This window comes from Homo sapiens, chromosome 12 (assembly GCF_000001405.40).
Source record: "Homo sapiens chromosome 12, GRCh38.p14 Primary Assembly".
Classification (NCBI taxonomy): Eukaryota; Metazoa; Chordata; class Mammalia; order Primates; family Hominidae; genus Homo; species Homo sapiens.
The window spans coordinates 111823679-111851364 of record NC_000012.12 but is presented as its reverse complement, the minus strand read 5'-3'; the positions used below and the strand labels follow the sequence as shown (position 1 = coordinate 111851364).

Sequence of the window (27686 nt, the reverse complement as noted above, 5' to 3'; positions counted from 1 at the left end):
AACAGAGCCAGACTCTTTCTCAAAAAGTCCTTGAGACCTCCTGATCTACAGGCTGGATTAGAGACACTGTTTGTGGACAAGTAGACCACTTCAAAGCCTAGTGTTGAACTCATGGGATTCTCAGTGGCCAGGGGCATTGTGTCAAAAAAACTTTAAAAGGCAGTCCTGGCCGGGCACGGTGGCTCATGCCTGTAATCCCAGCACTTTGGGAGGCCGAGGCAGGCGGATCACTTGAGGTTAGGAGTTCAAGACCAGCCTGGCCAACATGCTGAAACCCTGTCTCTACTAAAATACAAAAATTAGCTGGGCGTGGTGGCAGGCAACTATAATCCCAGCTACTCGGGAGGCTGAGGCAGGAGAATGGTGTGAACCCAGGAGGCAGAGCTTGCAGTGAGCCGCGATCGTGCCACTGCACTCCAGCCTGGGCCACAGAGCGAGACTCCTCTCAAAAAAAAAAAAAAAAAAGAAAATGGGTTCTCATTATCCAGGCTTTCTTTTGGTAAAAACAGACTGGCAGCTGGTGTTTTATCTTCTCCCTTGAAGGCTCAGAGGTTAGCAGCTTTATAGACCAGGGTAGTCCTGATCATAAACTTGACTGTGTTTACACAAAACGGCAGTTAACCTAGCTCTTCCTGCCTTAAATCCTGGCACTCACTGCTCTTCCTTACTCATAAATGTCCTTTGTGGCATTGTTTTCCCCAGAACAGGGCATTTTTGTCTGCATTAAAAACCCATTCAAGCAGATATCCTTTCTCCTCAATGATTTTCTTAATGGCATCTGGGAACTTGTTTGCCGCCTCTTGGTCAGCAGAAGCTGCTTCTCCTGTTACCCTGACATTTTTTTAAGCCAAACCTCTCTACAGTTATCAAACCATCCTTTGCTGGCATTAAATTCTCCAACTTTAGATCCTTTACCTTCCTTTTAAGACACAATGACTTTTTCTCGAAAAATATTAGAGTCTATAGTTATGCCTTTCTTATAGCACTCTCGCACCCACGTAAAAGCTGCATCTTCAATATGAAATAAAAAGGTATTTTGGCCAGGCACAGTTGCTCATGCCTGTAATCCCAGCACTTTGGGAGGCCGATGCAGGCAGATCACAAGGTCAGGAGTTCGAGACCAGCCTGGCCAACATGGTGAAACCCCGTCTCTATTAAAAAGACAAAAATTAGGCGGGCATGGTGGCACCCACCTGTAATCCCAGCTACTTGGGAGGCTAAGGCAGGAGAACTGCTTGAACCTGGGAGGCAGAGGTTGCAGTGAGCCAAGATCACGCCACTACACTCCAGCCTGGTCAACAGAGCAAGTCTCCATCTATGAAAAAAAAAAGGATATTTCACAACCAGTCGTGGTGGTTCATGCCTATAATTCTAGCACTTTGGAAGGCCAAAGTGTGACGACTGCTTGAGCTCAAGAGCTGGAGACCAGCCTGGGCTACACAGTGGGACCCGTGTCTCTACAAAAAAAAAAGTTATTTTAATTAGCCAAACATGGTGGTAGACACCTGTGGTCCCAGCTACTCAGGAGGCTGAGGAGGGAGAATCACTTAAGCCTAGAAGGACATGGCTGCAGCGAACTGTGATCGCATCACTACACTCCAGCCTGGGTGATGGAGTGAGACTGTCCTAACAAAATAAAAGAAAAAGAAAAAAATGTGCTAAACTGGACTTCATAAAATTTAAAACCTTTTGCTCTTCAAAAGACACCATTATAAAATGAAAAGATAAGCCACAGACTGGGAGAAAATATTTGCCAATCACATAGCTGATAAATGACTTTTATTCAGTTTATAAAGAACTCTAGGCCAGGTGCGGTGGCTGACGCCTGCAATCCCAGCACTTTGGGAGGCCGAGGCAGGCAGATCACAAGGTCAGGAGTTTAAGACAAGCCTGGCCAACATGGCAAAACTAAAATTTTTAGTCTCTACTAAAAATACAAAAATTAGCTAGGCATGGTGGTGGATGCCCATAATCCCAGCTACTTGGGAGGCTGAGGCAGGAGAATCACTTGAACCCGGGAGGTGGAGGTTGCAGTGAGCCAAGATCGTGCCATTGCACTCCAGCCTAGGCAACAAGAGCAGCAAGACTTTGTCTCAGAAAAAAAAAAAAGAAAGAAAAAAAAAAGAACTCTTGGCCAGGTGCAGTAATCCTAGCACTTCAGGAGGCTGAGGCAGGCAGATCGCTTGAGCCCAGGAGTTCAAGACCAGCCTGGGCAACATTGTGAGACCCCATCTCTAAAAAAATTAATAAAAAAATAAATAAATAATCCTATAACTCAATAAGGCAAAGAAATCAATTTTAGGCTGGGCATGGTGGTTCACATCTGTAATCCCAGCACTTTGGGAGGCCAAGGCAGGCGGATCACTTGAGGTCAGAAGTACGAGACCACCTGGTCAACATGGTGAAGACCTCATCTCTACTAAAAATACAAAAAATAAATAAAAAAATAAAAATACAAATACAAAAAATTAGCTGGGCATGGTGGCGCATGCCTGTAATCCCAGCTACTTAGGAGGCTGAGGCAGGAGAATCGCTTGAACCCCGGAGGAAGAGGTTGCAGTGAGCCAAGGTCGTACCACTGCATTCCAGCCTGAGTGACAAAGCGAGACTCCATCTCAAAACAAAAAAAAGCAATTCTAAAACGGGCAAAAAGAGGCCGAGCACAGTGGCTCATGCCTATAATCCTAGCATTTTGGAGGCCAAGGTGGGCAATCACCTGAGGTCAGGAGTTCAAGACCAGCCTGGCCAACATGGTGAAACCCCATCTCTACTAAAATACAAAAATTAGCTGGGCATGATGGCAGGTGCCTGTAATCCCAGCTACTCGGGAGGCTGAGACGGGAGAATCACTTGAACCCGGGAGACGGTGGTTGCAGTGAGCCGAGATCGTGCCACTGTGCTCCAGCCTGGGCGACTGAGCAAGACTCCATCTCAAAAAAAAAAAAAAAAAAATGGGGCAAAAGATTGGAACAGACCCTTCACCAGAAAAGAAACATGAATGTCAAATCTGCACACAAAAAGATGTCCAACAGCATTAGTCGTTAGGGAAATGCAAATTAAAAGCATAATACCACTACACACCCACCAGAAGGACTAAAATAGGAAGACTGAAAATACCTAATATTTGTGAAGATGGTAGAAAAAAACAGGACTTTCAAACACTGCCAGTGGGAATGTATAATGGTACAACCACTTTGGAAAACAGTTCGGTGGTTTCTTAAAAAGTTAAACATAAATTTACTATACTGCCCAGTTATTCCACATCTAGCTATCTACACTGAAGAAATGAATACATATATTCACACAAAACTTGTACAGTTTTATCACTTTATTCACAACAGCTAAAAACTAGAAATAATCTAAATGTCCTATAACTGAGAATGGATAAGCAATAAAGACTACTGCTCAATAAAAAGAATGAACTGCTAAAGCATGCACTAACGTGGATGAACCTGAGAAATTTGCTAAGAAATCAAACACATAAAATTGGTAAGCTATTAAGGAAATAATTTCTGGAGAAGGCAAAAACTATAGTGACAAAGCAAATCAGTGGCCGTAAGGGGCGAGGAATGGGAACAGGGCTGACTGCAACCAGGCAGAAGGAACTTTCTAGCAGGGATGGAAATATTATACACCAGAGTGTGATGATGGCTGCATGCCTCTATAAATTTACTAAAAATTACTGAACATTTACACTGAATGTACTGAACTGTACATTTATATTGGGGGTATTTTTATGATGTACAAACTATACAATTTTTTTTAATTTTAAAAACTAAGGAAATGGATTTTCACAAACTCCATCAAATATTAACGACTCGCTATACATAATAGAAAACAATATGTAAGAATCCCTAATCCCAAAATGCCCACTCTCCAGATTTAGCTAAGTGCCTTGGGTGTAGCAAAGTCATGGGGCTATGGGACTAGAGATACAGGTAATAGAAGATACAGGGAATAGAAGATAGAGCCTCCACTTACAGCCATTTGACCTTATCCTAAATTTTTTTTTTTTTTTTTGCAGAGTCTCACCCTGTCGCCCAGGCTGGAGTACAGTGGAGCAATCTCAGCTCACTACAACTTCCACCTCCCGTGTTCAAGTGATTCTCCTGCCTCAGCCTCCCGAGTAGCTGGGACTACAGACACCTGCCACCACACCCAGCTAATTTTTTTTTGTTTTTTTTAGTAGAGATGGGGGTTTCACAATGTTGGCCAGGCTGGTCTCAAACTCCTGACCTCAAATGATCTACCCACCTCAGCCTCCCAAAGTGTTGGGATTACAAGCGTAAGCCACCACGCCCAGCCCCTTATCCTAAAGTTTTTAAGAGTACAGTAGTCCCCACAGATAAGGGAGGATATGTTCCAAGACCTCCAGTGGATGCCTGAAATCTTGGATAGTAGTGAGCCCTATACATACTGTTTGTTCTGATAACCAAGATGACTACTAAGTAACTACAGGATAGGAAGCATATACAGTGTGAACATGCTGGGATGATTCATGTCCCAGGCAATATGGCAAGAGATTTCATTACACTACAAAGAATAGTGCTTAATTTGAAACTTATGAGAGCCAGGCATGGTGACTCACACCTGTAACTCTAGCACTTTGGGAGGCCGAGGAGGGTGGATCATGAGGTCAGGAGTTCGAGATCAGCCTGGCCAACATGGTGAAACCCCGTCTCTACTAAAAATACAAAAATTAGCCAGGCATGGTGGTGCACACCTGTAATCCCAGCTACTACTCGGGAGGCTGAGGCAGAAGAATTGCTTGAACCCAGGAGGCAGAGGCTGCAGTGAGCCAAGATCACGCCACTGCACTCCAGCCTGGGCATCAGAGCAAGACCGTCTCAAAAAAAAAAAAAAAGAAAAAGAAACTTATGAATTATTGATTTCTGGAATTTTCCACTTAATATTTTCAGACTGCAGTTGACCATATGTAACTAAAATTGTGGAAAGCAAAACCGTGGATAAGGGAGGATGAGATCTTAAAGTCCAATCAACCCACTCTCAGGTAGTCTGGCAGCAAGAGTTAAAGTGTTGTGGCTGGAGGCCAGGAAAATAGCTTTCCAGCTGAACACTACAGGTTTGTCTCAGTGCTCACCATCTGCTGAACACCCCCCAAAAAGCAAAACAATGAATACAACACAATGCCACAGACCAAATGTTTTTTATTTGATGTAATGCTGGCTTGCTTCCAAAGCAGTACATCCTAATCAGTACTGATTTTCAAGTCCACCAATAGGTATTGGCTGGAAATGCCCAAATTAGCGTAGATTCACCATGACCTATTGAGTACTTCTGAGTGAAGAAAAGCTAAAAAAATTTTAAGAAAATTGGGCTGGGCAAGAGTCAAGTGAAAAAAACAACTCTTTCTAAAGCACCCTTAAGTTGCTATGAGCTAATATTCATTGAGCTCTTGCTGTTAGGTATTATTATTTTTTTGAGAAGGAGTCTAACTCTGTCGCCCAGGCTGGAGTGCAGTGGCATGATCTCAGCTCACTGCAACCTCTGCCCCCCAGGTTCAAGCGATTCTCCTGCCTCAGCCTTCTGAGTAGCTGGGATTACAGATGTGTGCCACCACACTCGGCTAATTTTTGTATTTTTAGTAGAGACGGGGGTCTCGCCATGTTGGCCAGAGTGGTCTCCAACTCCTGACCTCAGGTGATCCGCCCGCCTAGGCTTCCCAAAGTGCTGGGATTACAGGTGTGAGCCACCGTGCCTGGCCTAGGTATTATTATAAGCACATTTGGGTATATCTGCTCATTTAATCCTCAAAAACTAACAAACAAACCAACAAAAAACCCTATAAGCTGGGAGTGCTTTTATCCCATCTACAGATGAGGAAACTAACGAGACAGAAGTGAAGTGATGTCGTACTCAGACACACGGCTAATAAAATAGAAACGCTGGGCTGGGCGTGGTAGCTCATGCCTGTAGTCCCAACACTTTGGGAGGCCAAGGCGGACAGATAACCTGAGGTCAGGAGTTCGAGACCAGCCTGGCCAACATGGTGAAACCCCATCTTTTCTAGCAATATAACAACAATAACAACAAAATAGCAATAACAACAAAAATAGCCGGGCGTGGTGGTGTGCGCCTGTAGTCCCAGCTACTCGGAGGGCCAAGGCACAAGAATTGCTTGAACCTGGGAGGAGGCGGCTGCAGTGAGCCGAGATCACACCACTGCACTCCAGCCTGGGTGACAGAGTGAGACTCTGTATCAAAAAAAAACATAGGGTGAGATTTCAACTGAGTCTACCTAGAGAAGCTATAACAACCACTAAGTGACATTGCTGCCCTATTTGTATACTTATCTCCTGGAACTATGTCTCTCTTCTGTTCAAAACTCTCCTATAGTTCCCCTTTTAATCAGGGTCAAACCCAAAGTTCTTACGATGGCCTACAAGGCCCTAAGTGCCTTGCTTCCCATTGCTGCTCTACATCATCTCCACTGACCCACTGCATTCCAGCCACCTTGCTCTTCCTACATCACACTACACCTGCTTCTACCTCAAGGTCTGTCCTTGCTATTCCCACTGCCTGTTATACTCTTCCCTGAGACAGTGGTGGCTTGCTCTCGCATTTCCATCAGAACTCTACAGTGTCACCTCCTCGGACTACCCTATTTAACACAGTACTCCTCACCCTTTCCACACTTAATTAAAACCACCTAGCAGTAACCCCACCCTCTAGAATATAAGCTACATGACAGTAGGGACATCTAGGAGTCTGGCTTGTACCATTTGTGTCTAGGACACCATCTGGCACACAGGAGACAATGTTTAAAAACTGGCCACATACGCTTTGATTCACAACCCAATTAAATAACTTCAGGCGGCATATCATGCCTCTGTGCCAATAAAACCCAAACCAAGGCTGGGCGCGGTGGCTCACACCTGTTATCTCAGAACTTTGGGAGGCCGAGGCGGGCAAATCATGACGTCAGGAGATGGAGACCATCCTGGCTAACACAGTGAAACCCCACCTCTACTAAAAATACAAAAAAATTAGCTGGGTGTGGTGGCACGTGCCTGTAGTCCCAGCTACTGGGGAGGCTGAGGCAGGAGAATCACTTGAACCTGGGAGGTGGAGGTTGCAGTGAGCCAAGAGCATCCCACTGCACTCCAGCCTGGATGACAAAGCCAGACTCCGACTCAAAAAAAAAAACAAAACCCAAAACAAAAGAAGGATATGTCAAGGCAGTCTTTTAGAATCTTTATGATTTAAAACCTCGTCTTCCTTGGGCCAGGCACGGTGGCTCACGCCTGTAATCCCACCATTTTGGGAGGCCAAGGCGGGCAGATCACGAGGTCAGGAGATCGAGCCCATCCTGGCTATTACGGTGAAACCCCGTCTCTACTAAAAATACAAACAAAAGAAAAAATTAGCAGGGCGTGGTGGGTGGGCGCCTGTAATCCCAGCTACTCGGGAGGCTGAGGCAGGAGAATGGCGTGAACCCAGGAGGCGGAACTTGCAGTGAGCCAAGATCGGGCCACTGCACTCCAGCCTGGGCGACAGAGTGAGACTCCGTCTCAAAAACAAACAAACAGACAAAAAACCTGGTCTTCCTTAATGTATATGTTATATGTTGATGCCTCCTTTAAAGGGTTAAGTTTCTTTGGAATGACTTGATGATTTTGAGAAACTATATACACCACCTAAAGAATTGGTAGAAATGTAAATTCTTAATCATTACTAGTAACTGTCTTGAAGGGGAAAATAACCCCAAGCTGCCAATAGATGCCTGTCCTTCAAGATAAAATGAAATTATTCAATGCACTGGGCTGACTTAACACTACAAATAAGTAAATAATACATCAAACTTTAAGCGTCAATGTTTAATTTTCATAAGACTAATTTCTTAGCTACAGCTGTCAAGACAGATAACTGGCCCTGAGTGGGCAAAATGTGCCTTTAAAAAAAAAAAAAGTTAAAAACAGGTTTTAGAAAACTTATTTTATTTGTGTAATTTTCGAACACACATTTGCTTTTCTTTTGGTTTAAGTGCAGTTAAGTCACAGGAACTGTTAACTTTTCCTAAGTAAACTCAATGCTTCCTAGGAGAAAGAAGAGGAAAAAGAAAAAGGGGAGAATACACGGAAAAGTGAGGACAACCTATTCCCCAAAGGACAGGTTTTGTACGGCGAACCACCTTTTTCCAACTGCAGATTTCCAGAAGGCTGATTTCAAACAAATCGGGAGGGATGGATAAATTCCAACTCTCCAAGTTCTGTAGACCATCCGGAAGCAAATGCTGGCGGCCTTGGGGAGTGATCGAAACGTGTAGTAGTAGTAGTAGGGCTCTCTTCGTCCCATTCATTGACACTTAATAGTGTCTCCAGGCCACTCACCTCTGTTCCAGCTGAGCACAAATCACACTCACCAGGGAAGCTGGCGGGAGTCGGACACACACCTACACCCACACCCATAACCCTTGGCCCCAGGGCTGTAAAGCGCGATCCACGGAATCCGGGGGAGGCCGAAACCCGGTAGTCGATGGAACCTCTCACTGCAAAATCTCCCTGCTTTTTGAGGCTAGAGCCGAGAAGAACGCCACAGGACAACGCGGGGGAAGAGGGGGCACCTCCCCCTTACCTTGATGGCTTTGTCCATGTCGCTCTCCTCCGACATACTCAGTGGGGCCCCCACAGCCGGGAGAGGCGGAGGCTGCTCAGCAGCCCTGTCCCCGCGCGGCCGAGGGAGCAAAGGGCTCGGCACTCGGGCCCCTGGGCCTCGTGGCGACGGGCAGCAGCCGCCCCTCGGGACCGGTGGGGATGAGGACCCCGGCGCCGGCTCTGCTTCGGCGGGCGGCTCTAGGCTGGCGGCAGCAGCAGCGGCGGAGGCGGCGGCCCCTGGGGACAGGTCTTTGTGCTGGGCCCCACGCGGCCGCCTCCTAGCCTCATCCCCAGCTGGGGAGGCAGGCTCCTGGGGTAGGGCGAGGCGGGGAGGGCCTCGACCCGGGGCGCCGTGCAAGGGCCTCGCGGGGCCGCCGCTTAGACCTGGGCTCGCCAGGTCCTAAAGAAGAGCCTGCGCCTCCGCCTCCGCCGCCTGCACCGCCGCGAAGCCGAAGCCGAAGCCGAAGCAGAGCTCGGCGCCGCTGCTCCCGCCGCCGCCTCAGCGCCACACATCGCCGGGACACCCGCGCCGGGCAGCCCCGCCGGCCGCCCTCACGCACGCGCTGTGCCCCGCGGGAGCTCCAGGCCGCCCCTCCTGCCGCCCAGCTTCGTGACTCCACGGCCCCACGCGCCCCTTGCTGCCTTCCGCTGGGGTTTCCGAGCCGCCCCCGAACCGCGCACCCGACTTGCAGGCGTCCGCCTGGGCCTCCCTAAGACACGCCGCATACAGGACAGGCCCCTGGGCCTTCCGCGGCGATGGCGCTGCGCTAATGACGTCATAGGCCCGGACTCGCGTGAGTGCGCGTGCGTTGGGGCCTCAGCCTTTATCTCCACTCTGCGGAGATTCACGCCTGGAAAACGCTCTTCTGAGAGGATCTGTGGAGGTCAACCCAGGAGAGAGAAGACAGGACTGAAGCACTGAAAGGGTCCTGCCGTTAAGGGCGCAGGATTGTATAGAATATATAATAGCAGTAGCAGCTCTGTTTACGGAGCATTAACCTTACGTGGAGTTATTTCCTGCATTTCCTCCTTTCGTCTTTACAAGGTAGCCGTTTGGCGTCGTGAGGTATGGATGTTCCCATCCCTAATTTGCAAAATAGGTAACTGAGGCTCAGGAGAGCTAGACTAGTTTGTGCACAGCCGAGAAGTGGTCAAGCTAGAATGGGACCCCAGGTTTGTGCTCCCTACTCTCCACCGATAACCTATCAAAGGGCTTTGCAAGAGCTTTTGACTAATCGTCTGTCAATGGTTCTTCATTCACGTATTAATTGCACATCAGTATGTGCCAAATCTACTAGACATTGGAGAAACAGTAGGAACAACACATGGTACCGGCACATGGATCTTTCAGGAAAACGAAGTAGGTAATAAACAGGAAAAAGCCCGAGTCTGATGCTAAGAAGAACATAAACAGGATGCTGAGGTAAGAGAATAACTGGATGTGGGGACTTCTTCGTATTAGATGATTAAGGAAGGAATCTCAGGAGGTAACATTTAAGCTGAGACCCCTGAGGAATGAGAAAGGGCTGGCTATTGGAAATCCAAGGAAAGATTTCTGGGCAGATGGGTAGAAATTTTAAGGTGGAAATAAGCTAAATATGTTCAAGAATCAGCAAGAAGGTCATTGTAGCTGGAGTAGATCGAGTAGGAGGAGACTGATAAAGGGTGAGGTTGGAGGCTGGGCGCGGTGGGTCACGCCTGTAATCCCAGCACTTCGGGAGGCCAAGGCGGGCGGATCACTTGAAGTCAGGAGTTCGAGACCGGCCTGGCCAACATGGCGAAACCCCGTCTCTATTTCAAAAAAAGAAAAAAAAAAGTATAAAAAGGATGAGGTTGGAGATGTGGGCAGGGGCTGCATCATATGTGGCCTTTGGGGGTCATAATCAGGACTTTGGATTTTATTCTAAGCTATTGTAAGGTTTTAAAGTAAAGAGTGATGTGAACAAATTTGTTTTAAAAGATCACTCTGCTTTGTAGAGAATAGAATATAGGAAAGCAAGAATGGAAACAGAGCTATTAGGAGGCTATTGGAGAATAATGCAGATGAGAGATTATTACACTGTCTGAACTAAGGAGGTGGCGGTAAAGGTGTAGAGAAGATGGATTTTTTTTTTTAAACGGTCCCACTGTCTAGAGTGCAGTGGCGTGATCACAGCTCACTGCAACCTAGACCTCCTGGGCTCAGGCGATCCTCCCACCTCAGCATCCTGAGTAGCTGGGACTATAGGCGCATGCCACCATGCCTGGCTAATTTTTCGTATTTTTTTTGTAGAGATTGGGTCTCTCCACATTGCCCCGGCTGCTCTCCAACCCCTGAGTTCAAGTGATTCACCTCCCTTGGCCTCCCAAAGTACTGGGATTACAGGCGTGAGCCACCGTGCCTGGCTGAGAAGATGGATTTAAGACATATTTTGGAGGTAACATTGTCAGGACTTCCTGAAGGATTAGATGTGGAAGGGAAGGATAAGAAACAGACCAAGGATAACTTTCAAATGTATGCTTAAGCAACTGGATGGATAATGATGCCATTGAGTGAGTGAAAAACTTGATGGAAGTGGAAGATTCAGAGTTCATTTCTATCTAGGTTAATTTGAGACATACCAGAGCATAAGTTAAGTAAGTAATTGAATATTGGAGTGGAGACTTATTTGTCTACCGAATTATTGTTTTCTTTGTCGGACATACACCTACACTGCATTCCTCAAAGTAAAATTTAAGTGTGGCTCTGTGCCTATGCTCTCCCCAGCGGAAAGTGACCAGAAGAGGTGTGCAGTTTCCAGGCCTGGCCCATACAGACCTCCAACAGGTGCTCCCCTGTGCTGTTACTCCTTCTGCCAACTGGAAGCAGATGGTGACCAGGCTCTGGAGAAGGCAAGGCCTGAAGATGGGAGATTCCTAAGTGGAGGAGAACTGTGCCTTACTGACCTAAATATCCACTCAGTATTGTTATGTGAGAATAAATAAACTTGTGTTGACCGTTTACTTACTTTGAGTCTTTTGTTCTAGCAGCTTTGCCTATGCTACCTAATATGAATAAGAGCAATGATCCCGCGATGAACTTTGGGAGAAAATTTTTAAATGACTTCAGTTGACATCTGTAACAGGAAATATTCGTGCAAAAGTAATTGTGGTTTTTGCCATTTAAAAATAATGGCAAAAACTGCAGTCATTTTTGCACTAACCTATAGAAGATGCCTTGGATTTATTCATTCATTTCATCCAGTAAGAATTTCTCTCTGCCAGGCTCTATGTCTTGTAATAGAGATGCAGAGATGATGTCGTATAATAGAGATGCAGCAATGAAGAGACAAGGTCCCTGCTCTCAAGCAGCTTTTAGTCTAGCTGTTCAACTTACCGACTTATTTGCACGTGCTTTCCCACTACCTAGAAACTCATGCTTCCCTCATAACACACACACATACACACACAGCCTGGTTTCTACTCATTCTTCAACTTTATTCTTCTTTGAGGCGGAGGCTCACTGTGTCCCCCAGGCTGGAGTGCAGTGGTGCGATCTCGGCTCACTGCAACCGCCGCCTCCTGAGTTCAAGTGATTCTTCTGCCTCAGCCTCCCGAGTTGCTGGGATTACAGGCACCCGCCACCACGCCCGGCTAATTTTTGTATTTTTAGTAGAGACAGGGTTTCACCATGTTGGCCAGGCTGGTCTCGAACTCCTGACCTTAGGTGATCCGCCCACGTCAGCCTCCTAGAGTGCTGGGATTACAGGCGTGAGCCACCACACCTGGCCAATTCTTGATAATGTTTTTTCAGAAAGGCATGCCTTGCCCATACCCTCCTTTCCTAATCTAAATCAGATGTTCCTATTATCCTGTAACTAAATAATCTCAACAAGGGAAAGAATCTTATTTGTCTTATTGGTCATATGTCCCTAATACCCAGTCCATTGTAGGTACTTAATAAATTTATTTGTCGAAGGAATCAATGAATGGAGAAGGCAGAACCCTGAAGAAAGCGGTTTCTTCCAATGAAATTCCTCTGTTTTTTGCTGGTGTGGCAGCCCTGGTTCACAGCCTCCAGTGATGCTCACATCTTGGTATTTATGATCTTATGTAGTCCTCTCGCCCTGCATGTGGTCTGGATCAAGTGGTTTGCTTTCAGTGAACAGATGTCATGTTCAAGATTAGGTAGCAGAAAAACTCTGGCTTCCATTGGGGCCCTCTCTGACTCTTTTACTTATCTGCTCTTAGGGAAGCCAGCTCACTTGGTTCCTAAGGCTGCTGTAACAAAGTATCACAAATTGGGTGGCTTAAAACAACAGAAGTTTATCCTCACAGCTCCAGATGCTAGAAGTCTGTAATGAATGTGTCAGCAGAGGCCGAGTACTGTGGCTCACTCCTGTACTCCCAGCACTTTGGGAGGCCAAAGCGGGCAGATCACTTGAGGTCAGGAGTTCGAGACCAGCCTGGCCAACATGGTGAAACCCTGTCTCTACTAAAAATAAAAATAAAAAAATTAGCCAGTGGTGGTGGCAGGCACCTGTAATCCCAGCTACTCTGGAGGCTGAGCCAGGAGAATCACCTGAACCCGGGAGGCAGAGAGGTTGCAGTGAACGGAGACCGCACCTGTGAACTCCAGTCTGGGCAACAGATCGAGACTCTATCTCAAAAAAAAAAGTGGTGGGGCACGGTGGCTCATGCCTGTAATCCCAGCACTTTGGGAGGCCGAGTTGGGCAGATCATGAGGTCAGGAGATCTAGACCGTCTCAGCTAACACGGTGAAACCCCCCATCTCTACTAAAAATACAGAAAAATAGCCAGGTCGGGTGGCGGACTCCTGTAGTCCCAGCGACTCAGGAGGCTGAGGCAGGAGAATGGCGTGAACCCGAGAGGCACAGCTTGCAGTGAGTCAAGATCACGCCACTGCACTCCAGCCTGGGCGACAGTGTGAGACTGTCTCAAAAAAAAAAAAAAAAAAGTGTCAACAAAGCCATGTTCCCTCTGAAGGCTACAGGGAAGACTCCTTCCTTCTGGTGGCTCCAGACAGTCCTTGGCATTCTTTGGCTGTATCACTCCAGGCTCTTCCTCTGTCTTCACATGGCCTTCCCTGTGTGTCTCTCTGTGTCCTCTCCTCTTAATAAAACAGTCGTTGGATTTAGGGCCCAACATCATCCAGCACGATCTCATCTTAATTACATCTGCAAAGACCCTATTTCCAAATAAGGTCACATTCTGAGCTTCTGTGCAAACATGAATTTTGGGGCAATATACTATTCAGTCCATTACAGACATGGCGAGGAACTAACATCTCTTACCAGCTGCCAGTGAGTACCTAAGGACTACCCACACATACATGAGCTTAGAAAGGATACTCACCAAATTGAGCCTTTAGCTGATGGCATCCCCAGCCCACAACTTGATCGTGGCCCCGTGAGAGACTATGCCAGGCGCACCCAGCCAAGCCATACCCAAACTCCCGACCCACAGAAACAGACTTTTAAATGTTTTTTAAAGTACTAAATTTGGCCGGGCACAGTGGTTCACGCCTGTAATCCCAGCACTTTGGGAGGCCGAGGTGGGTGGATCACTTGAGGCCAGGAGTTTAAGACTAGTCTGACCAATATGGTGAAACCCCATCTCTACTAAAAGTACAAAAATTAGCCGGGCGTGATGGCGCCTGCCTGTAATCCCAGCTACTCAGGAGGCTGAGGCAGGAGAATCGCTTGAACCCGGGAAGCAGAGGTTGCAGTGAGCCAAGATCACACCACTGCACTCCAGTCTGGGCGACAGAGCAAGACTGTCTCCAAAAAATTTTTTAAAATTAAAAAATTAAAAATAAATAAGGTTGGGCACCGTGGCTCACGCCTGTAATCCCAGCACTTTGGGAGGCCAAGATGGGTGGATCACGAGGTCAGGACTGGCCTGGCCAATATGGTGAAACCCCGTCTCTACTAAAAATACGATTACTCAGGCATGGTAGTGTGTCCGGAATTGGTGGGTTCTTGGTCTCACTGACTTCAAGAATGAAGCTGTGGACCCTCGCGGTGAGTGTTACAGTTCTTAAAGGTGGCGTGTCCGGAGTTTGTTCCTTCTGATGTTCGGATGTGTTCCGAGTTTCTTCCTTCTGGTGGGTTTGTGGTCTCTCTGGCTTCAGGAGTGAAGCTGCAGACCTTCGCGGTGAGTGTTACAGCTCATAAAGGCAGTGTGGACCCAAAGAGTGAGCAGCAACAAGATTTATTGCAAAGAGCAAAAGAACAAAGCTTCCACAGTGTGGAAGGGGACCCAAGCAGGTTGCCACTGCTGGCTCCGGCAGCCTGCTTTTATTCTCTTATCTGGCTCCACCCACATCCTGCTGATTGATCCATTTTACAGAGAGCTGAGTGGTGGTCTGTTTTGACAGGGTGTTGATTGGTGCGTTTACAATCCCTGAGCTAGACACAAAGGTTCTCCACCTCTCCACTAGATTAGCTAGATACAAAGTGTCCACACAAAGGTTCTCCAAGTCCCCACCAGAGCAGCTAGATACAGAGTGTCGATTGGTGCATTCACAAACCCTGAGCTAGACACAGGGTGCTGATTGGTGTGTTTACAAACCTTGAGCTAGATACAGAGTGCCAATTGGTGTATTTACAATCCCCTAGCTAGACATAAAGGTTCTCCAAGTCCCCACCAGTCAGGAGCCCAGCTGGCTTCACCCAGTGGATCCTGCACCCGGGCCGCAGGTGGAGCTGCTTGCCAGTCCAGTGCCGTGCGCCCGCACACCTCAGCCCTTGGGTGGTTGATGGGACTGGGTGCCGTGGAGCAGGGGGTGGTGCTCGTCGGGGAGGCTCGGGCCACACAGGAGCCCAGGGAGTGGGGGGAGGTTCAGGCATGGGGGGCTGCAGGTCCAGAGCCCTGCCCCGACGGGAGGCAGCTAAGGCCCGGCGAGAAATCGAGTACAGCACTGGTGGGCCGGCACTGCTGGGGGACCCAACACACCCTCTGCAGCCACTGGCCCGTGTGCTAAGCCCCTCATTGCCGGGGCCGGCAGGGCTGGCCGGCCACTCCAAGTGTGGGGACTGCCAAGCCCACGCCCACCTGGAACTCCAGCTGGCCCGCAAACCCCGCGCGCAGCCCGGGTTCCTGCTCGCGCCTCTCCCTCCACACCTCCCTGAAAGCTGAGGGAGCCAGCTCCGGCTTTGGCCAGCCCAGAAAGGGGCTCCCACAGTGCAGTGGTGGGCTGAAGGGCTCCTCAAGTGCCACCAAAGTGAGAGCCCAGGCAGAGGAGGCGCCAAGAGTGAGCGAGGGCTGCAAGGGCTGCCAGCACACTGTCACCTCTCAGTAGTGCGTGCCTGTAATCCCAGCTACTCGGGAGGCTGAGGCAGGAGAATTGCTTGAACCCGGGAGGCAGAGGTTGCAGTGAGCTGAGATCACACCATTGCACTCCAGCCTGGGTGACAGGGCAAGACTCTGTCTCAAGAAAAAAAGAACAGATGGGGAGGAGGAGCCAAGATGGCCGAATAGGAACAGCTCCGGTCTACAGCTCCCAGCATGAGCACCGCAGAAGACGAGTGATTTCTGCATTTCCATCTGAGATACTGGGTTCATCTCACTAGGGAGTGCCAGACAGTGGGCGCAGGACAGTGGGTGTAGTGCACCATGCGCCAGCCGAAGCAGGGTGAGGCATTGCCTCACTCAGGAAGCACAAGGGGTCAGGGAGTTCCCTTTCCTGGTCAAGGAAAGGGGTGACAGACAGCGCCTGGAAAATCGGGCCACTCCCACCCGAATATTGCGCTTTTCCGACGGGCTTAGGAAACGGCGCACCAGGAGATTGTACCCCGCACCTGGCTCGGAGGGTCCTATGCCCAAGGAGTCTCGCTGATTGCTAGCACAGCAGTCCGAGATCAAACTGCAAGGCAGCAGGGAGGCTGGGGGAGGGGTGCCCGCCATTGCCCAGGCTTACTTAGGTAAACAAAGCAGCCAGGAAGCTCGAACTGGGTGGAGCCCACCACAGCTCAAGGAGGCCTGCCTGCCTCGGTAGGCTCCACCTCTGGGGGCAGGGCACAGACAAAAAGACAGCAGTAACCTCTGCAGACTTAAATGTCCCTGTCTGACAGCTTTGAGGAGAGCAGTGGTTCTCCCAGCACGCAGCTGGAGATCTGAGAAGGGGCAGACTGCCTCCTCAAGTGGGTCCCTGACCCCTGACCCCCAAGCAGCCTAACTGGGAGGCACCCCCCAGTAGGGGCAGACTGACACCTCACACGGCCGGGTACTCCTCTGAGACAAAACTTCCAGAGGAACGATCAGACAACAGCATTCACGGATCACGAAAATCCACGGTTCTGCAGACACCGCTGCTGATACCCAGGCAAACAGGGTCTGGAGTGGACCTCTAGCAAACTCCAACAGACCTGCAGCTGAGGGTCCTGTCTGTTAGAAGGAAAACTAACAAACAGAAAGGACATCCATACCAAAAACCCATCTGTACATCACCATCATCAAAGACCAAAAGTAGATAAAACCACAAAGATGGGGAAAAAACAGAGCAGAAAAACTGGAAACTCTAAAAAGCAGAGCACCTCTCCTCCTCCAAAGGAACGCAGTTCCTCACCAGCAACAGAACAAAGCTGGATGGAGAATGACTTTGACGAGTTGAGAGAAGAAGGCTTCAGATGATCAAACTACTCCGAGCTACAGGAGGAAATTCAAACCAAAGGCAAAGAAGTTGAAAACTTTGAAAAAATTTTGGACGAATGTATAACTAGAATAACCAATAAAGAGAAGTGCTTAAAGGAGCTGATGGAGCTGAAAGCCAAGGCTTGAGAACTACGTGAAGAATGCAGAAGCCTCAGGAGCCGATGTGATCAACTGGAAGAAAGGGTATCAGTGATGGAAGATGAAATGAATGAAACGAAGCGAGAAGGGAAGTTTAGAGAAAAAAGAATAAAAAGAAATGAACAAAGCCTCCAAGAAATATGGGACTATGTGAAAAGACCAAATCTGCGTCTGATTGGTGTACCTGAAATTGACAGGGAGAATGGAACCAAGTTGGAAAACACTCTGCAGGATATTATCCAGGAGAACTTCCCCAATCTAGCAAGGCAGGCCAACATTCAGATTCAGGAAATACAGAGAACACCACAAAGATACTCCTCGAGAAGAGCAACTCCAAGACACATAATTGTCAGATTCACCAAAGTTGAAATGAAGGAAAAAATGTTAAGGGCAGCCAGAGAGAAAGGTCGGGTTACCCACAAAGGGAAGCCCATCAGACTAACAGCGGATCTCTTGGCAGAAACTCTACAAGCCAGAAGAGAGTGGGGGCCAATATTCAACATTCTTAAAGAAAAGAATTTTCAACCCAGAATTTCATATCCAGCCAAACTAAGCTTCATAAGCGAAGGAGAAATAAAATCCTTTACAGACAAGCAAATGCTGAGAGATTTCATCACCACCAGGCCTGCCCTAAAAGAGCTCCCGAAGGAAGCACTAAACATGGAAAGGAAAAACTTGTACCAGCCACTGCAAAATCATGCCAAAATGTAAAGACCATCGAGACTAGGAAGAAACTGCATCAACTAACGAGCAAAATAACCAGCTAACATCATAATGACAGGATCAAATTCACACATAACAATATTAACTTTAAATGTAAATGGACTAAATGCTCCAATTAAAAGACACAGACTGGCAAGTTTGATAAAGAGTCAAGACCCATCAGTGTGCTGTATTCAGGAAACCCATCTCATGTGCAGAGACACATATAGGGTCAAAATAAAAGGATGGAGAAAGATCTACCAAACAAATGGAAAACAAAAAAAGGCAGGGGTTGCAATCCTAGTCTCTGATAAAACAGACTTTAAACCAACAAAGATCAAAAGAGACAAAGAAGGCCATTACATAATGGTAAAGGGATCAATTCAACAAGAAGAGCTAACTATCCTAAATATATATGCACCCAATACAGGAGCACCCAGATTCATAAAGCAAGTCCTGAGTGACCTACAAAGAGACTTAGACTCCCAAGCAATAATAATGGGAGACTTTAACACCCACTGTCAACATTAGACAGATCAACAAGACAGAAAGTTAACAAGGATACCCAGGAATTGAACTCAGCTCTGCACCAAGCGGACCTAATAGACATCTACAGAACTCTCCACCCCAAATCAACAGAATATACATTTTTTTCAGCACCACGCCACACCTATTCCAAAATTGACCATATAGTTGGAAGTAAAGCTCCCCTCAGCAAATGTAAAAGAACAGAAATTATAACAAACTGTCTCTCAGACCACAGTGCAATCAAACTAGAATTCAGGATTAAGAAACTCACTCAAAACCGCTCAACTACATGGAAACTGAACAACCTGCTCCTGAATGACTACTGAGTACATAACGAAATGAAGGCAGAAATAAAAATGTTCTTTGAAACCAACAAGAACAAAGACACAACATACCAGAATCTCTGGGACACATTCAAAGCAGTGTGTAGAGGGAAATTTATAGCACTAAATGCCCACGAGAGAAAGCAAGAAAGATCCAAAATTGACACCCTAACATCACAATTAAAAGAACTAGAAAAGCAAGAGCAAACACATTCAAAAGCTAGCAGAAGGCAAGAAATAACTAAAATCAGAGCAGAACTGAAGGAAATAGAGACACAAAAACCCTTCAAAAAATTAATGAATCCAGGAGCTGGTTTTTTGAAAGGATCAACAAAATTGATAGACCGCTAGCAAGACTAATAAAGAAAAAAAGAGAGAAGAATCAAATAGACGCAATAAAAAATGATAAAGGGGATATCACCACCGATCCCACAGAAATACAAACTACCATCAGAGAATACTACAAACACCTCTACGCAAATAAACTAGAAAATCTAGAAGAAATGGATACATTCCTCGACACATACACTCTCCCAAGACTAAACCAGGAAGAAGTTGAATCTCTGAATAGACCAATAACAGGAGCTGAAATTGTGGCAATAATCAATAGCTTACCAACCAAAAAGAGTCCAGGACCAGATGGATTCACAGCCGAATTCTACCAGAGGTACAAGGAGGAACTAATACCATTCCTTCTGAAACTATTCCAATCAATAGAAAAAGAGGGAATCCTCCCTAACTCATTTTGTGAGGCCAGCATCATCCTGATACCAAAGCCGGGCAGAGACACAACCAAAAAAGAGAATTTTAGACCAATATCCTTGATGAACATTGATGCAAAAATCCTCAATAAAATACTGGCAAACCAAATCCAGCAGCACATCAAAAAGCTTATCCACCATGATCAAGTGGGCTTCATCCCTGGGATGCAAGGCTGGTTCAATATATGCAAATCAATAAATGTAATCCAGCAGATAAACAGAACTAAAGACAAAAACCACATGATTATCTCAATAGATGCAGAAAAGGCCTTTGACAAAATTCAACAACCCTTCATGCTAAAAACTCTCAATAAATTAGGTATTGATGGGACATATCTCAAAATAATAAGAGCTATCTATGACAAACCCACAGCCAATATCATACTGAATGGGCAAAAACTGGAAGCATTCCCCTTGAAAACTGGCAAAAGACAGGGATGCCCTCTCTCACCACTCCTATTCAACATAGTGTTGGAAGTTCTGGCCAAGGCAATTAGGCAGGAGAAGGAAATAAAGGGTATTCAATTAGGAAAAGAGGAAGTCAAATTGTCCCTGTTTGCAGACGACATGATTGTATATCTAGAAAACCCCATTGTCTCAGCCCAAAATCTCCTTAAGCTGATAAGCAAGTTCAGCAAAGTCTCAAGATACAAAATCAATGTACAAAAATCACAAGCATTGTTATACACCAGTAACAGACAAACAGAGAGCCAAATCATGAGTGAACTCCCATTCACAATTGCTTCAAAGAGAATAAAATACTTAGGAATCCAACTTACAAGGGATGTGAAGGACCTCTTCAAAGAGAACTACAAACCACTGCTCAATGAAATAAAAGAGGATACAAACAAATGGAAGAACATTCCATGCTCATGGATAGGAAGAATCAATATTGTGAAAATGGCCATACTGCCCAAGGTAATTTATAGATTCAATGCCATCCCCATCAAGCTACCAATGACTTTCTTCACAGAATTGGAAAAAACTACTTTAAAATTCATATGGAACCAAAAAAGAGCCCGCATTGCCAAGTCAATCCTAAGCCAAAAGAACAAAGCTGGAGGCATCACGCTACCTGACTTCAAACTATACTACAAGGCTACAGTAACCAAAACAGCATGGTACTGGTACCAAAACAGAGATATAGATCAATGGAACAGGACAAAGCTCTCAGAAATAATGCCACAGATCTACAACTATCTGATCTTTGACAAACCTGAGAAAAACAAGCAATGGGGAAAGGATTTCCTATTTAATAAATGGTGCTGGGAAAACTGGCTAGCCATATGTAGAAAGCTGAAACTGGATCCCTTCCTTACACCTTATACAAAAATTAATTCATGATGGGTTAAAGACTTAAACATTAGACCTAAAACCATAAAAACCCTAGAAGAAAACCTAGGCATTACCATTCAGGACATAGGCATGGGCAAGGACTTCATGTCTAAAACACCAAAAGCAATGGCAACAAAAGCCAAAATTGACAAATGGGATCTAATTAAACTAAAGAGCTTCTGCACAGCAAAAGAAACTACCATCAGAGTGAACAGGCAACCTACAAAATGGGAGAAAATTTTCGCAACCTACTCATCTGACAAAAGACTAATATCCAGAATCTACAATGAACTCAAACAAATTTACAAGAAAAAAACAAACAATCCCATCAAAAAGTGGGCAAAGGATATGAACAGACACTTCTCAAAAGAAGACATTTATGCAGCCAACAGACACATGAAAAAATGCTCATCATCACTGGCCATCAGAGAAATGCAAATCAAAACCACAACGAGATACCATCTCACACCAGTTAAAATGTCAATCATTAAAAAGTCAGGAAACAACAGGTGCTGGAGAGGATGTGGAGAAACAGGAACATGTTTACACTGTTGATGGGACTGTAAACTAGTTCAAGCATTGTGGAAGTCAGTGTGGCGATTCCTCAGGGATCTAGAACTAGAAATACCATTTGACCCAGCCATCCCATTACTGGGTATATACGCAAAGGACTATAAATCATGCTGCTATAAAGACACATGCACAAGTATGTTTATTGTGGCACTATTCACAATAGCAAAGACTTGGAACCAACCCAAATGTCCAACAATGATAGACTGGATTAAGAAAATGTGGCACATATACACCATGGAATACTATGCAGCCATAAAAAATGATGAGTTCATGTCCTTTGTAGGGACATGGATGAAATTGGAAATCATCATTCTCAGTAAACTATCGCAAGGACAAAAAACCAAACACCGCATGTTCTCACTCATAGATGGGAATTGAACAATGAGAACACATGGACACAGGAAGGGGAACATCACACTCTGGGGACTGTTGTGGGGTGGGGGAGGGGGGAGGGATAGCATTAGGAGATATACCTGATGCTAAATGATGAGTTAATGGGTGCAGCACACCAGCATGGCACATGTATACATATGTAACTAACCTGCACATTGTGCACATGTACCCTAAAACTTAAAGTATAATAATAATAATAATAATAAAAAGAAAAAAAGAACAGACAGGATCAATATGTGGGCTACAGGCTGGGTGCGGTGGCTCACGCCTGTAATTCCAGCACTTTGGCAGGCTGAGGCGGGTGGATCACTTGAGGTCAGGAGTTTGAGATCAGCTTGGCCAACATGGAGAAACCCTGACTCCACTAAAAATACAAAAATTAGCCAAGTGTGGTGGCATGCACCTATCATCAAAATAAATAAATAAATAAGCAGATTCTGATTCCTTAGGTGTGGGGTGGGGCCTGAGATTCTGTATTGCTAAGAAGCTGCCGAGTGATGTAAGTGCTGCTGCTCAGTCTAGGACCATACTTTGAGGAGCGGCTGTCAACACCTCCACGGTTCCTGTCACTCAACAGCCCCTACTTAAGGGATAGGCCTTGCTTCATGTGGGTGCCATGTGACCCCATCCCCTGGCCATAGCTGACTGGCCCAGGAATGGCCATCTGACCCAAGCTGGGCCCTTCAGAGGCTCCTGGGAAGTGAGACTGGAACATTATGCCAATTGTGGGTGGCTGTGGACACAGAGAGGTCGTTTTGTCCCAGGCTGAGGCAGTCCTTATCTGCCTCGGGAAATGGAAGCAGTGAGGCTTTGGAGAGGCCAGAAGGAGCAGCCTCCCAGCTCAGAGAGACTCGGCCCTGCCTCCCATTCCTCACTGCACTAACTGTCCCTTGTCCTTCCCAGGTGTACCCCTATTGCCTGATGGTTGTGTCACCGGTGGAGGGTGTCCAGGTTCTTGGTGTCTTGAACAAAAAATTGGACAAAACGCACAAAGCAAGGAAAGAAATGAAGAAAATTATTGAAAATGAAAGTATACTCCACAGTGTGGTAGCAGGCTGAGCATAGGGGCTCAAGGGCCCCATTACAGAATGTTTTGGGGTTTAAATACCCTCTAGAAGTTTCCATCAGTTCCTTGGTATATGTCCTACATAAATGAAGAGGATGAAGTAGAGCTACAAAGTCATTTACTTGGTGTACGCCATATGTAAATAAAGAGGATGAAGTAAAGTTACAAGGTCATTTACTCAGTGTACACCCTATGTAAAAGAAGAGAATGAAGTAAAGTTACAAAGTCATTTACTCGGTGTACGCCCTATGTAAATGGAGAGGATATTTTCTGTCATAGCTGAAGTGTGAATTGGGCTTATGTTCCCTGCCTCCAGACCATATTTTCGTGGCTCAGTTGGAGTGATGTCTCATCCTTCTGAATTCTGCCAAGCTGTCACAGGTTTTTCTCAGGCCATCTTCATTGGTTGAAGTTCACAACAACAGTGCTCTTCTCTAACGTCACACGCTTGGCCAATTGTGCTCTTGGATTAAGTTCTTAGTTGTGAATGCCTGCCAGAAAGGTTGTGCCTTCTGGGCACCTTGGCTCACACCTGTAATCTTGGCACTCTGGAAGGCCAGGAGTTCAAGACCAGCCTGAGTAACACAGCAAGACCTTATCTCAATAAAATAAATAAAAAGATTGGGCACGGTGGCTCACACTTGTAATCCCAGCACTTTGGGAGGCTGAGGCGGGCGGATCACCTGAGGTCAGGAGTTTGAGACCAGCCTGGCCAACATGCAGAAACCCGGTCTCTACTAAAAATACAAAAATTAGCTGGGCATGGTGGTACACGCCTGTAGTCCCAGCTACTCAGGAGGCTGAGGCAGGAGAATCATTTGAAACTGGGAGGCAGAGGTTGCAGTGAGCCGAGATTGTGCAAGTGCACTCCAGCTGGGGCAACAAGAGGGAAAATCCATCTCAAAAAAAAATAAATAAAATAATAAATAAATAACAAAATTTAAAAATAATACTATAAATGATAATAATAAAGGTTGCATCACATTATGTTTTCCTAGTAGTATGAGAGCATGCCCTGCTTTCTGACCTGTTTCTGTTCCTCAAATATAGCAAAACTGGACAGTCTGTGAATGGAAAGTTCTAGCATCTGCTGACCTGACTCAGCTCAAATCCTTCAGACCTCTGAGCTGGAAGGGGCCCAGAGGTCTCCAAGGCCAGCCTCACTCAGGTGCAGCATCCATGCTGGGGCTTTGTGGGCCGGCTGGAGTACTCAGTGGTTGCTAACTGGCTCCTGTCTCCCCTCTCAGAGCTCACAGAATAAATATCATCCCTCTCCTGGGACAGCTTTTTAGGTATCTCACGTGGTGGTCATTTCCTTAAAAATTTTGTTATTCTGAGAAACAATGCATAGCATAAAATGTACCAGCCTAACCATTTCTTTTTTCTTTGAGATGGAGTCTTGCTCTGTCACCTAGGCTGGCGTGCAATGGTGCAATCTCGGCTCACTGCAACCTCCGCCTCCTGGGTTCAAGCGATTCTCCTGCCTCAGCCTCCTGAGTAGCTGGGATTACAGGCACCCACCACCATGCCCAAGTAATTTTTTGTATTTTTAGTAGAGACGGGATTTCACCATGTTGACCAGGCTGGTCTCAAACTCCTGACCTCAGATGATCCACCCTCCTCTGCCTCCCAAAGTACTGGGATTACAGGCATAAGCCACCGTGCCCAGCTTCATCCTAACGATTTCTAAGAGTACAATTCAGTAACGTTAAGTATATCCACACTGTTGTGCAGCCAGTCTCAAGAACTTTTTCATGTTGCAAAACTGAAACTCTATACCCACTGAACAACTCCACATGGTAGCCTTGTAAAGCTGCTGAGGAGGCATGATTCCAAAGAATTTTAATATCTCATTTCACAATGATTATTCTCACTTTACAGCTGAGAAAAAAAGACAGTGTGTTAGTCTGTTTTGCATTGCTATAAAAGAATACCTGAAGCTGGGTAATTTTTTATTTTTATTTTTTTGAGACAGGGTCTGGCTCTGTTGCCTAGGCTGGAATGCAGTGGCACGATCTTGGCCCACTGCAACCTCTGCTTCCTGGGTTCAAGCAATTCTCATGCCTCAGCCTCCTGGGTAGCTGGGATTACAGGCATGCCCTACCATGCCTGGCTAATTTTTGTATTTTTATTAGAGATGGGGTTACACCATGTTGGTCAGGCTGGTCTCGAACTCTTGACCTCAGTAATCCACCTACCTCGGCCTCCCAAAGTGCTGGGATTACAGATGTGAGCCACCATGCCCAGCTGTGAAGCAGAGTAATTTATAAAGAAACGAGATTGATTTGGCTCATGGTTCTGCAGGCTGTACAAGCACAGCACTAGCATCTGTTCTGTTTCCGGTGAAGCCTCAGGAAGCTTAGAAAGCCTGTCAGAAGGCAAAGGGGGAGCTGGCATATCCGATGGCAGGAGGGAGCAAGAGAGATGCCAGGCTCCTTTTCATAGAGAGCTGAATGCCCGTGGGTCGTGACCAACTCAGCATTCCACTGAGGCTATATGATCAAACAGCAAACTGTTTATCATGAATGCAGAATGTGAGCAAACTTGCTTCTGCTCCAGCCACCAGAAGGTTTGCTGAGGGCAATCACTCCCCGGCACTGTATGCCTTGAGGTTATCTACTGGGACATCCAGAGCCTACTGTTCAAATAATGCAGTCTTGCAAGCCTGCTGTAAATCAAGCTGCTGACCACCAACCACCCCCCACCCTTCTCCCTATCTCCTTTACCCAATAAATACAAAGGGCTCTAAAGCTCAGGGCCCTTGTTCACTAGAAGCAAGGAGCCCCCGACCATGTCTTCCAAATATGCTTTTTTGTCTTTATCTTTATTCTCGCATTCGTCCCCCTTTGTTCAGTCCACCAAGGTCCATTCACGCATCAAAGTGGCACCCCAGAACAGGGACTCTGAGGACATGAACGAAGAAGGTCTGCTGAAGCAGAGAAGCTGAAATTGACAAGACGAATGGGGACACTGGGATGAGTCCACTGGCAGCAGATATAAGGTCAGTGCCCTAACGAGGTACTGGGAGCAATATAAGGTCAGTGCTCTCTTAAAGAAGTACTGGGTCCCAGCACTTTGGGAGGCCGAGGTGGGCAGATCACGAGGTCAGGAGATCGAGACCATCCTGGCTAACACGGTGAAACCCCGTCTTTACTAAAAAATACAAAAAAATAGCTGGGCGTGGTGGCGGGCGCCTGTAGTCCCAGCTACTCGGGAGGCTGAGGCAGGAGAATGGTGTGAACCTGGGAGGTGGAGCTTGCAGTGAGCCGAGATCGCACCACTGCACTCCAGCCTGGGTGACAGAGCGAGACACCATCTCAAAAAAAAAAAAAAAAAAAAAGAAGTACTGGGAATGGGAATTTTTCTGAATCAGGTAACATGGGGCAGAATTTGTCTGTTGAAAAAAAAAACGTGCAGTTGCTTAAAGTTTTGTTGAAACAATCTGGTGCTCAGGTTAATTCTCAGACATTAACTAAGATGCTGCAGGAGGTTATTACGCATAACCCATGGTTTCCACAGGCAGGCACTCCTGATGTAGAAAATTGGCACAGAGCAGGAGAAGGATTAAAACAGGCTCATCAAAAAGGTCTTAAAGTTGATTCTTCTGCTTTCTCCACTAGGAGTTTAGTTCATACTGTCCTTCTGCCATTATATCCTTTTTATTCTGCTGGACAGCAGGAGTCATGTTCTGAGTCTAAAAATCTGAAAGAATCTGTTGTCCCACCCACAGCACCAATTGAAAATAAAAAACAGGAGAGGGAGGATAAAAATTGGCCTATACCGCCCCCTCCAGTTGCAGAAACATCTGTACCGCCTCCTTCAGTAGCCGAAATAGAGACCTCAATACAAAGAATTTTATGCTCTGCTGCCTGCACTTTTCCTATTTCCATAAGGCCTGATCCAAACAATCCACAGCAGTTTATTCATGAACACACCCCACTAGAGTTTACGTTGTTGAAGGAATGAAAAATTAAGTGTAATTAATAATGGGATACAGAGCCCATTCACCTTAGGATTGCTAGAATCTGTATTTGGTGCTATGCGCCTTCTACCCTTTGATGTAAAACATTTGGCTTGCACTTGTTTGTCTGCTACTGCATACCTGACTTGGAATTTAAATTGGCAAGAAATGTGTGCAGACCAGGCTAGACAGAATCATGCTTCTGGACACGGAGACATTACAGAGGGTATGCTGTTAGGTAATGGCCCTTTATTCAGACCTGGAATGTCAAATGGCACTCCCAGATCCTGCTTATCAGCAGTGTGCACAGGCTGCTAAACACGCCTGGGCCACAATTCCAGAAGAGAGAGTCCCAGTACAATCCTTTTTACATCTCATGCAAGGGTCACAGGAACCCTATGTGCAATTTCTTGCAAGATTACAAGAGGCAGTGAAGCATCAAATTCCTCATACCGCTGCCACAGAAATGCTAACCTTAACTTTAGCTTTTGAGAATGCAAACGCAGATTGTAAACGTGCACTGGCACCTGTGAGGTGTACAAAACTTGGGAAATTTTCTCAGAACTTGTCAGGATGTAGAAACTGAGCTTCATTGCTCTGCAATTTTAGCTCAAGCAATGGCTAATTTAGTAGTTGACAAATCTAAAAGGAGCCAAC

At 46.3% G+C, this 27686-nt stretch overlaps 1 protein-coding gene and 1 long non-coding RNA gene across 16 annotated transcripts in view, besides 6 other annotated features; one reads left to right on the top strand and one right to left on the bottom strand.

The window, feature by feature from the left end:
* The window catches only part of MAPKAPK5 (MAPK activated protein kinase 5), a 59995-nt gene extending 50858 nt beyond the window's left edge, over positions 1-9137 (bottom strand). For all 11 annotated transcript variants that reach the window (NM_139078.3, NM_001371479.1, NM_003668.4 and 8 more), the window contains exon 1: positions 8596-9137. In NM_139078.3, coding sequence (NP_620777.1) covers positions 8596-8631 — 36 coding nt within the window. In that variant the 5' untranslated portion in view covers positions 8632-9137. The remainder of the gene's footprint in view (positions 1-8595) is intronic.
* Positions 6792-6960: a silencer, noted in NCBI's record as "fragment chr12:112282209-112282377 (GRCh37/hg19 assembly coordinates)". NCBI's record gives its function as "represses an EF-1alpha promoter that drives an FKBP-Casp9 reporter gene in an ReSE screen in K562 erythroleukemia cells {active_cell/tissue: K562}" and the evidence as "EXISTENCE:reporter gene assay evidence [ECO:0000049][PMID:32094911]".
* On the top strand, positions 8360-11598 carry MAPKAPK5-AS1 (MAPKAPK5 antisense RNA 1). 5 transcript variants are annotated; one of them, NR_152607.1, is made up of 3 exons: positions 9435-9681; positions 10888-11032; positions 11362-11598. It is a non-coding gene; the product is annotated as an MAPKAPK5 antisense RNA 1 (long non-coding RNA). The 5 variants fall into 5 exon arrangements; NR_152606.1 differs by having other exon boundaries at positions 9435-10038; NR_015404.2 differs by having other exon boundaries at positions 8360-10038; positions 10888-11598.
* Positions 8452-8551: an enhancer, noted in NCBI's record as "active region_7041". NCBI's record gives its function as "activates an Ori minimal core promoter by ATAC-STARR-seq in GM12878 lymphoblastoid cells {active_cell/tissue: GM12878}" and the evidence as "EXISTENCE:reporter gene assay evidence [ECO:0000049][PMID:35858748]".
* Positions 8642-8991: a silencer, noted in NCBI's record as "silent region_4877". NCBI's record gives its function as "represses an Ori minimal core promoter by ATAC-STARR-seq in GM12878 lymphoblastoid cells {active_cell/tissue: GM12878}" and the evidence as "EXISTENCE:reporter gene assay evidence [ECO:0000049][PMID:35858748]".
* Positions 9072-9251: a silencer, noted in NCBI's record as "silent region_4876". NCBI's record gives its function as "represses an Ori minimal core promoter by ATAC-STARR-seq in GM12878 lymphoblastoid cells {active_cell/tissue: GM12878}" and the evidence as "EXISTENCE:reporter gene assay evidence [ECO:0000049][PMID:35858748]".
* Positions 9282-9561: an enhancer, noted in NCBI's record as "active region_7040". NCBI's record gives its function as "activates an Ori minimal core promoter by ATAC-STARR-seq in GM12878 lymphoblastoid cells {active_cell/tissue: GM12878}" and the evidence as "EXISTENCE:reporter gene assay evidence [ECO:0000049][PMID:35858748]".
* Positions 15952-16831: an enhancer, noted in NCBI's record as "H3K27ac-H3K4me1 hESC enhancer chr12:112272338-112273217 (GRCh37/hg19 assembly coordinates)". NCBI's record gives its function as "activates a minimal SCP1, AML or CMV promoter by ChIP-STARR-seq in naive H9 embryonic stem cells {active_cell/tissue: H9 hESC(naive)}" and the evidence as "EXISTENCE:reporter gene assay evidence [ECO:0000049][PMID:30033119]".